Source organism: Homo sapiens, chromosome 11, assembly GCF_000001405.40.
Source record: "Homo sapiens chromosome 11, GRCh38.p14 Primary Assembly".
Taxonomy (NCBI): domain Eukaryota; kingdom Metazoa; phylum Chordata; class Mammalia; order Primates; family Hominidae; genus Homo; species Homo sapiens.
This window is the reverse complement of record NC_000011.10, coordinates 131,333,763-131,343,188: the sequence shown is the minus strand read 5'-3', so window position 1 is coordinate 131,343,188 and position 9,426 is coordinate 131,333,763. Positions and strand designations below refer to the sequence as shown.

Here is a 9,426-nt window from a genome sequence, read left to right as displayed (position 1 = left end):
GGATGAAACCAATGTTTGTAAACACCATTACAATCCACCACAAGTGCTTAGACTTGAATGCCTTATCATTTGTCTGTCTCTCCCACTAAACTGTAAGTCCCTTTAGAACAAAAATGATTCTGCATCTTTTTTTTCCCTAATGCTTTACATGACACCTGGCACATCATAGATGGTCAATAGATGTGGCTTGTGTAAATACATCCTCACGGGTCACTTCTTATATGCTCTCCTGATGTTGTAAACCAAAAGAGTTACTTCTTTCTGTGTACTTTTATAGAACAATAGTCTAGGTCTATTCTAGCTCTTAAGACATTGTACTTTTTAAAAATTGTTTATGGGTGAATTTTCTCTCTGGACTAGAACTAGAGAGGAAAATCATCTCATCTCTAGCACCTAGTACAATATCTGGAAGAGAGAAATTCAATAAATTTCTGAATAATTGAATTAAATTATTCTCTAGTTGCAATCAGCATGTGTTTATTGATTGCCTGCTAGGTACTAGGCATTAACAGTCTGGTTAAAAGCTAGGAGGTCCCAGAGGCCAATGAGGTCAAGGGGGAAGAAGAAGCAAGGGACGAGAGCATTCTTGTGGTCCGGTGTTGAAGAGCAATGCTTGCCATTCTTGTGGTCCGGTGTTGAAGAGCAATGCTTGCCATTCTTGTGGTCCGGTGTTGAAGAGCAATGCTTGCCATTCTTGTGGTCCGGTGTTGAAGAGCAATGCTTGCCATTCTTGTGGTCCGGTGTTGAAGAGCAATGCTTGCCATTCTTGTGGTCCGGTGTTGAAGAGCAATGCTTGCCATTCTTGTGGTCCGGTGTTGAAGAGCAATGCTTGCCATTCTTGTGGTCCGGTGTTGAAGAGCAATGCTTGCCATTCTTGTGGTCCGGTGTTGAAGAGCAATGCTTGCCATTCTTGTGGTCCGGTGTTGAAGAGCAATGCTTGCCATTCTTGTGGTCCGGTGTTGAAGAGCAATGCTTGCCATTCTTGTGGTCCGGTGTTGAAGAGCAATGCTTGCCATTCTTGTGGTCTGGTCTTGAAGAGCAATGCTTGCCTCCCAGTGGGGAGACTCAGTGTCACTCCACCCACTGGTCCCTGCTCCTTCCACACCCCCTCTGCCTGCCTGCACCTCTTACCCCAATGGTGTGGCCATGATCTAATCTTCCCATCCAGTTTATTGCTTTACACCGCGCAGCTCACCAAGCACATTTGTGTTCATTGTGCAATTAGTGCTGAGTACACTGAACAAGATAATGACATGCAGCAAAGGCTAAGGGATGATGCCCTGGCTGTGTGCATTGCTTAATATCTCAGGAGAATGAGGTGCTCCTCTCCCATTCTCTGAGGCCCTGCTGCACTATGTATTCAAACCTGAACCATAGGCTCTCTTGAGAAAGAGCCCACCGGAATGCAGCCCAAGCAGCTCTTCAGATGCAAACCTGGCAATGAGCAGCACCAGTTATTTGGAGCAAAGAACATTGTTTCTTATTGAAATGTAACTGGTAAGGAATTTAGCGAGTGTGAACAATATGCTATGACCTTCTAGGTACTGAGTACGAGGGAGAGAGAGCTGCGACCTTGAATTCAGAGAAAAGTGAGCACTTAGAATAATATAATGGGAACAAGGGCCTGGAAAAACAATGGGAAATTCTGGGTTATGCCTTCCTGTCCTGGGTCAGGGGAAGGCAACTTCTCCTAAGTAGATGAAAAGACTTTCCTGTGATAGACCATTGGGCATAGTTTTCAAAAACCTGGGCCACTACCATCCTTCAAACAATCAATGCCATCTCTCCCCTAAAGGTAGGGTCTCGCACCCTGCCATTCTTTTTACATCTGTATAGAAAAGGTAAATTGAAACACCTCTCTCCCTAAACCTCCCTAGCCAGTCCACCTATTTACAAAAAACCTAAGTAGCTTCTGGTGGCAGAAGGAACACCAATAAGTACTCATTCATTCATTCATTCATTCATTCATTCACTTATCTGTTAATTCATTTTACTGATAACTGAGACACAGATTCCCTACAGGGCGCTGGGTGTTCATCTTTGAACAACATAAAGTGTACCTGCTATTGTGAAACTTACAATCTAGTAGGGGAGAGAAATATTAAATAAGTAAATAAATAAATATATAAATACAGATTATGACATGTGTTATGAACATTTGTATTTTCTTTTACAACAGGAGTCTTTTCAACTTGAAGGCTTCAAGGTTACATTATTATCTATATATTATTATTATCTGTCTACATATTATTATCTATATATATTATTATCTGTATATTATCTATGTTATATTCCATCAATATATTATTATCTATATATTATTATTATTTATATATTATTATTATGTATATATTCAAGGGAACTATAGATGGGCGTTTGGGAGTCCATATGTTTCTTAAGATTGTATGTAAAATATTCTATGAATATAGGTCGATGCTTTTTTCTCTGAAAAGTATCCATGTCTTTCACCAAAGTCTCAAAGAGATCTATGACCTCCTAAAAGTCAAGAACTGATGGCTTAGAACCACATCAGGCAGGATTTTCTTCTTTTCCCATTGCCACCCCTCAGAACTGATCAAATTTGCTAGTGTTTATGGTTGCCCCTGAAGCAGCCAGCTCAGAAAAGCAGAGCTAGAGAGGCCAGTGCTGTCTCCTGCAGGGCATGCGGGCAGGCTGGATGAGGGCTGTGCCCAGAGAGTGCCCACCAAGACCTCAACGCTGAATGCCTTTCAGGAGTGGGAAATAAGGTTATGTTTGTATCCTCTCAATATGTGTCTCTGTTGTCTGAATTGTTTACAATAAACATGTTGCGTTTATAATCAGGAAAACTAACACATTAAAGCTATTTTTACTTAGGGAGAAATTATGCATTTTACTACTTGTACACATCTTTTGTTGACTAAGGCATAGAGATTTATTACGCAAAAAATAGAATATATCAGCAATGTGGTTATATAAAATTTTCCCCTAACTAAAGTTAGCTCAGGTGAGGAGACAGATTGAGAAAAGGTTGTCTGTTCAGCTATGGACTACAGGGATGGCAGTGGGCTCCTCACTGAAAGCGGGCATCTTGGGCATGTATGGCTCCTTTGAGCTTGACTCCACCACATGTTGTTTCCACGTCACCAATCAGGGAGCTCATTCAGGAACAAGGCTAAGAGAGCAGGGCCAGACTTCCCTAGCTCACAAGTCATACTGAGAAGACAGTCCAGGACTTAGAGACAAATGATAAAGTTTCACGTCCAACCTCTTCAAATTAAATTTCTTCCTTTCTTTTTTTTTTTTTTTTTTTTTTTTTTGACGGTGTCTTACTCTTTCACCCAGACTGGAGTGCCGCGGAACAATTCTTGGCTCACTGCATCCTCCGCCTCCCTGGTTCAAGTGATTCTCCCACCTCGGCCTCCTGAGTAGCTGGGATTACAGGCATACACCACGATGTCTGGCTAATTTTTGTATTTTTAGTAGAGACGGGGTTTCACCGTGTTGGCCTGATCAGGTCGAGCTCCTGATCTCAAGCGATCCACCCACCTCGGCCTCCCAAAGTGCTCCTCTTCAAATTTCTAATAGCTGATCTGTGCCTCGATTTACTTGCCTACAAAAAGGGCATGTCACATCATCCCTGCCCATCTCATAGGGTAACTGTGAGACATAAACAAGCTTATGAGAGCCAGGATCACATAAAGAGCAGAGAAGAAAGGCTGTGTTACTCACAACATGTCAGCCAGAGACATCATTTTGCATCTAATATGACAATACCTGAGAATAAATACATTATTGAAATGCATACTTTTCATGGATGTAAATAACAATGTAGATCTAGGTATCACTCCAGAGATAGCTCTTATACATTGTTCTTTAACTGTGGGTACATTGGGGAAGGAAGTATTATATACCTAGGCCAGGAGCTATGTTTTCCAATAGTGTATGTCTGGCCCGTGGCTCCAGCCCATCCATCTTATCTGAAAACTTTTATCCCCAGAAAAGTCCACCTGTCACATCACATTACACAGAATACGAGCTAATGATAAAAAAGGCATGAGCATGTAGTAGGTGGCTCATGGTGCAGGGGGCTTTGAGGGCAGGAAGGGGGTCTAGAGAATGGCAGATCATTTGTCTGCAGCCCTCAGTCTGTGAGCTCTCCTGCACGGGAAAGCCATGGAGTGATTATTGCTGTTATTTATAGAGCAATTTTCCCCCTCATTTAGACATAGAATCTAGTGAGACACCTAGGCACAGATAAATAATACCTAACAGTTCTGCCCAGACATTTGTTCTCAAATTTTTATTTTTTTCTGTGCCGTGAGATCCAAACTGAACAGAGAAGCTCAGTGGTGAAAGGAAGAGTATCCCTTTCTGCAAGAACAATGTGGGGGACGTGGCATGAAAACAGGAAGGGAAAGAAAGCCCCGAGTCCTGAACCAGGGTGGGAAGTGGGAGTCTGACAGTGTCATTAAATGGAAAAAGAGTATATTTTTCATGTTTAATGACTTTCTCTATTATGAAGTGAGTAAGAAATGAGGAACTTGACGCTGAATTATGTCAAAGTTGGGTTCCAATATGACATGGTTTGACTGGGTCCTCACCCAAATCTCACCTTGAATTGTAGTTCACATAATCCCCACATGTTATGGGAGGGATCCGGTGGGAGGTAATCGGATCAGGGGGGCAGTTACCCCCATGCTGCTGTTTTTGTGATTGCAAGTGAATTCTCACGAGGAGATCTGATGGTTTTATAAGCGACTTCTCCCCCACTTCACTCTGCACTTCTTGCTGCTGCCATGTGAAGAAGGATGCATTTGCTTCCCCTTCTGGCACAACCGTAAGTTTCCTGAGGTCTCCCTAAGCCTGCAGAACTGAGTCAATCACACCTTTTTCCTTTATAAATTACCCAGTCTTGGGTATGTCTTTATTAGCAGGGTGAGAATGGATTAACACACAATCCTATACCGTTTCTGGGTCACAATGGACTGAACACTTAATCTCTCTGGCCTATGATTTAGTCTTCGATTAAATGTGAGGTTTAGACTAGCTTAGGATTTCTCAACTTGTGTTCAACAGAACATTAGTTCTACAGTGTGTTAATGCGCATTAATGTGAAGAAAAAAGAAGAGGGTGCTGTGGTCAATTAAGTTTGGGGGATGCTGGGTTAAACAGAGTTGAAAGGTTTCTTTACTCCAAGAATTCTTGGAGGTTTTAATATGTTAATGTGACTTCTGAGTGTCCAACAGCTGACTATAAATAGGAGAAACATTTTTCTCAACTTATCTGGCCCTAGGATTTGGGGGTTTTGTATTGGTTTTGTTTTATTTTTGCTTTACTTTGTTTTGTTTTGGTTAGCATCAGTAGAGATACAGAGATACTTTGGGAAGACTAAACTAGATGGTCTTAAATATCTCTTCCAATTCTCCAAAATTATGGGATTCTATGAAAGACCATTAAGTGGCCATTATGCTATTTTATGCTTGGGGATGGGCAAGAGAGACTAGCCTCATGTTTAGTGACAGCTAGAAGTATAACACCATGTGTGTGTCTTTTTTATTCCATCTTTATGATAGTCTAGCAGGGTGAGCCCTATCATTCTAATCTTACATGGGAGGATATTGAAGTTCTAAGGGATTAAGCTAATTTCTCAATAAATGCAGCTTGGATATTGTGGATTCTCTAGTCAAACAAAGGGATGTATGGATGCAATTTTAAATAAGATGACATTTAAGCAAAACCTTGAAGGTTGTGAAGGAGATAGCTGTGCATATACTTGGGGAAGAGTGTTCTAGGCAGAAGGAATAGCCAGTGCTAAGTTAAAAGATAGGAGCCTGCCTGACCTGCTTGAGGAATAGGAAGGAGGTCAGCAGCACTGGGATTGGAAGGGGTAGAAAGTGGGGCATGTTGGGCCAGAAAGGTAATGGGGCAGCAGATATCAGGCAGCACCATGTACCAATCTTGGGAGCTCTGGCTTCGACTCTGGGGGAATGGAGATCAGAAGAGTGACATCATCTGGCTTACGACTTTAAAAAGATCACTTACTTGGTCTATTGGATTTAATACAGATTCTAGGGAGGTGTGATAGTCATTTGTACTGCCCGCAAATTATTTCTGGTTCTCCTGGAACATGAACAAGTTGTACTTTCTTTCTCCCTTAAAGTTAGGCATGGCCATAGGACTAACTTGGCCAAAGAACTGCAAACAGAAGTGGTAGGTTTCTCTTCCTGGTAGAAGGTTTAGGGGCTTGTGGGCAATTTGGCCTCTACCGTGTGATTGGTGACGAGGGCAGCTTTGTCAGTCTGGGTCCAGCGGAGGCTATGGTGAGCAGAGCTCCTCTTCCAACCAATGCCGAATGTGACAGTGAGTGAGAACTAACCCTGGTAGTTAAGTCACAGAGAAGTTGGTGTGACTTATTTCTGGAGCATAATATAGCCTATTCTTACCAATATAGGGGCAAGAGGAGAAGCATAAGATACTGCAAGAATTTAAGTGAGAGAAGATGTTGGGTGAGTCCAGGTATGTGTATTAGAAATGATAGACGTGTTTGGGTTGTGGATATATTTTGAAGGTGGAGCCAAGAGTTTCCTGCTGGATTGGTTATGAGGTGAAACAGAGGGAGAGGATTCAGCATCAACTCTATGTTTTTTGGCCTGAGCAATTAGCCAGACAGAATTGTCATCAGTTAGCATGAGGAAGACTAGGTAAATGAGAATTAGAAGTAAAAAAGGTTTGTTGTGCTTTTTACGTTTAATTTTCCACTTCATTCTTTTGAAAATGTTTTATACTTTCTGGTTATCTGCTGACATTTTTGAGTTTAGCTTTTATCTTGTTGGATATAGTATGGGAAATCATAAAAGGTTTTAAGTAGTAGAGTGACAGGATCCAATTCATGAGTCCTTTAGAAAACTAAGTGCATGAAGATAGCATCTTGTTTTGTTTTTCTTTTCTTTCTTTTTTTTTTTTTTGAGTGAACAGACTAAAGTGCCTAGAAAAGATATTAGCAGCATTTTATGTGACTCCCTTTTGGAGCCAGGGTTCAAAACAAACCATTTGGAACTCATTGATTTCAGTTTTCTCTTTATTTTTTTCCACCTTAATTGAGTCCTTTGACTCTAAAGAGCAGATTGATTCTGACTCTTCTAATTTTCTGCCTGCTTGATGATTCTCACCTATCATGTCTGCTTCCTATCTACAGACAATCGTTATTCCCCTTCTTCTGGACACACTAAAATTAGAGCATCTTGGGAGGACACCCAGTCTGATTCCAAATTCCCTTTCTTTTGGTAGTTTGCTCTGCGAGGTTCCACTCAGCTCTCTTGACAATGCCAACATCCCTGAAGCCCTTAACCAGGCAGAGGTTGCAAACTGTCACCCTCATGGCCAAATCCTTCTGCATGATTCCCAAAGTTTTGTTTGACCCACATAGTGATTTTAAAAATTGTCACTATTTAAAAATAGGAAGACTTTTTTTTGGAATTCAGAAATGTTACCCACACCAAGAACCTTCTTTCTGAGTCTCACGCAAAGGTGTGTTAGAACTGAGTAGCTTTGGGTTCTTTAAAAGGATCAGGTACTCATCGGCACTCCCTGTCCTCACCTGGATAGCTGAATTCATCCATGTTACCTGTGCTGTTCTCTGCTTTCAAGATTGCAGAGGCCTTCCATATACATTATTGTATTTAATCCTCACAACCTTGTAAAGTCAATGTTTTATACATCAGGAACCCATCCTTCTCAGAGCTGTATTAATTGCACTTTTTATTTGAGTACATGTAAGGTTACTTAAGTGTTTCTATTTGGATTCTCTAAGGGCCAGAATTAAATATTTGGCATTCTTTATTTTCTCTAAACAGAGTGCATCCTGGACTTTGCTCAGGAATATTCCTCCTTGGAGGTGTCGGGTGGTGCCATGCTGTGAGGAAAAGCATGAACTTTGGGCTCATGCTGTCTCACACATGTGTTTGCTGTGTCTCCTTGAGCATGTCATTTAATTATGCCATGTCATGATAGTCTCATCTATAAAACAAATATAGAAAAATAATCTTTAATATTTTCTCAGTGTTTTTTTCTACCTATGCAGTGTAAACTGGAAGACAGTAAGTGACAGGGAATGAGACGGAAAGAAGTCGAGGCCAGGTCTTGGAGGAGCTTGCCATGGTCACAGCAAGATAGTCTTATTCACTAAGCCAATGACTTTCAAACTTTATGTCTGGGAGCCCTCAGGCTATGTAGACTTGTTTCTCCTGCAAGGCCTCTCCTAGGGGAAAGCAGTGAGTGGCCTGAGCCCCATACCCCCAACCTCATTCTGTTGAAGGATGTGGCAAGCCACTGCACAGTTTTCAGTGGAAATGCACTCTATGGAGGATAGATGTGAGGGGACAAACCTGATGACAGGCAGGAATGTAAATGGGAAACACATGCTTAGTAAGAAGAAGAAGAAAAAGGCTTATGAATGAAAAGTGAGCCTAGAAATGATGACTAATGATTGGGTAGCCATGAGCATCATGAAGAAGAAGGATCCAGGCTGAATTCCACATTTTTTATTTCATTAATGGTTATAAGAAATTAAGGAGTGGGGATCATCTGGGAGCAAGAAATAATTTTAGAGAAATGGGAATGAACATTAGAATTATGATGTACCCATGGAACATCTAAATTAAGGTATTGATCATGATATTGGAGGAAATGTTAGACAGTCAAAACAAGCAGATTCCCCCACATCCCCGCCACTTAACTATCCAAGAGCTTGGGAGTGAGCTGGGGAATGTTGCCTTCTGTCTCTGACCCGATTTCATCATTCACTAAGTAATGCACTTGTGCATTGAGAAGATCAGAGAAATAATAGACATTCAAGTATTTAAACATCATTAGGTTGTATGTGAATGTTATGTTTTACTTACTGGCTCAGTCAGTAAAAATGAGAAGCAAAAGCAAAAACTTATGGCATTTTGAAGTTGGAAGTTCCCCAGAGGTGGGTCCACTCTACCTTGGATCTTAGGCAGGACCCACACTACGATCTGCAAGGGAATCTCTCCACAGCTGCTCAGCACTCTGGCCAGCCTACTCTAAAGGACCATGGAAAAAAATGATGCCCAACCATTGACTCTGGGGCTTTCTGTACGGTCCACACAGAACTTACCTCTTCTTAGAAGTCTTCCTTTGTCAATTAATCATTTCTTGGGCAGCTTCTTTATTATCTAAAAAAAATTACTTAATTTGTGCCTATCTGAGATTTCCTTTGCGGTATCCTTAAGAACACTAAATGAGGAGTTATAATATGTGCACACGAAAGCAGACACTTTCCAGTTATAGAAAACGAGGGGCTGTGATTTAACTTCTCCCACTGCTTCCACCCCCCCATTTCTTGATTGCTGCCACACAAGTAGCTATTAAACAGTGTGAGATATGGTAACATGCCATGTTTTATGTTTTATTTTCATCACA

At 41.2% G+C, this 9,426-nt stretch overlaps 2 annotated features.

Annotated features, from left to right (window-relative positions):
• Positions 212 to 1,411: an enhancer, noted in NCBI's record as "CDK7 strongly-dependent group 2 enhancer chr11:131211673-131212872 (GRCh37/hg19 assembly coordinates)". NCBI's record gives its function as "activates an origin of replication core promoter dependent on BRD2, BRD4, P300/CBP, MED14 and CDK7 cofactors, with strong dependence on CDK7, by STARR-seq in HCT116 cells {active_cell/tissue: HCT116}" and the evidence as "EXISTENCE:reporter gene assay evidence [ECO:0000049][PMID:35650434]".
• Positions 822 to 1,322: an enhancer, noted in NCBI's record as "OCT4-H3K27ac hESC enhancer chr11:131211762-131212262 (GRCh37/hg19 assembly coordinates)". NCBI's record gives its function as "activates a minimal SCP1, AML or CMV promoter by ChIP-STARR-seq in primed H9 embryonic stem cells {active_cell/tissue: H9 hESC(primed)}" and the evidence as "EXISTENCE:reporter gene assay evidence [ECO:0000049][PMID:30033119]".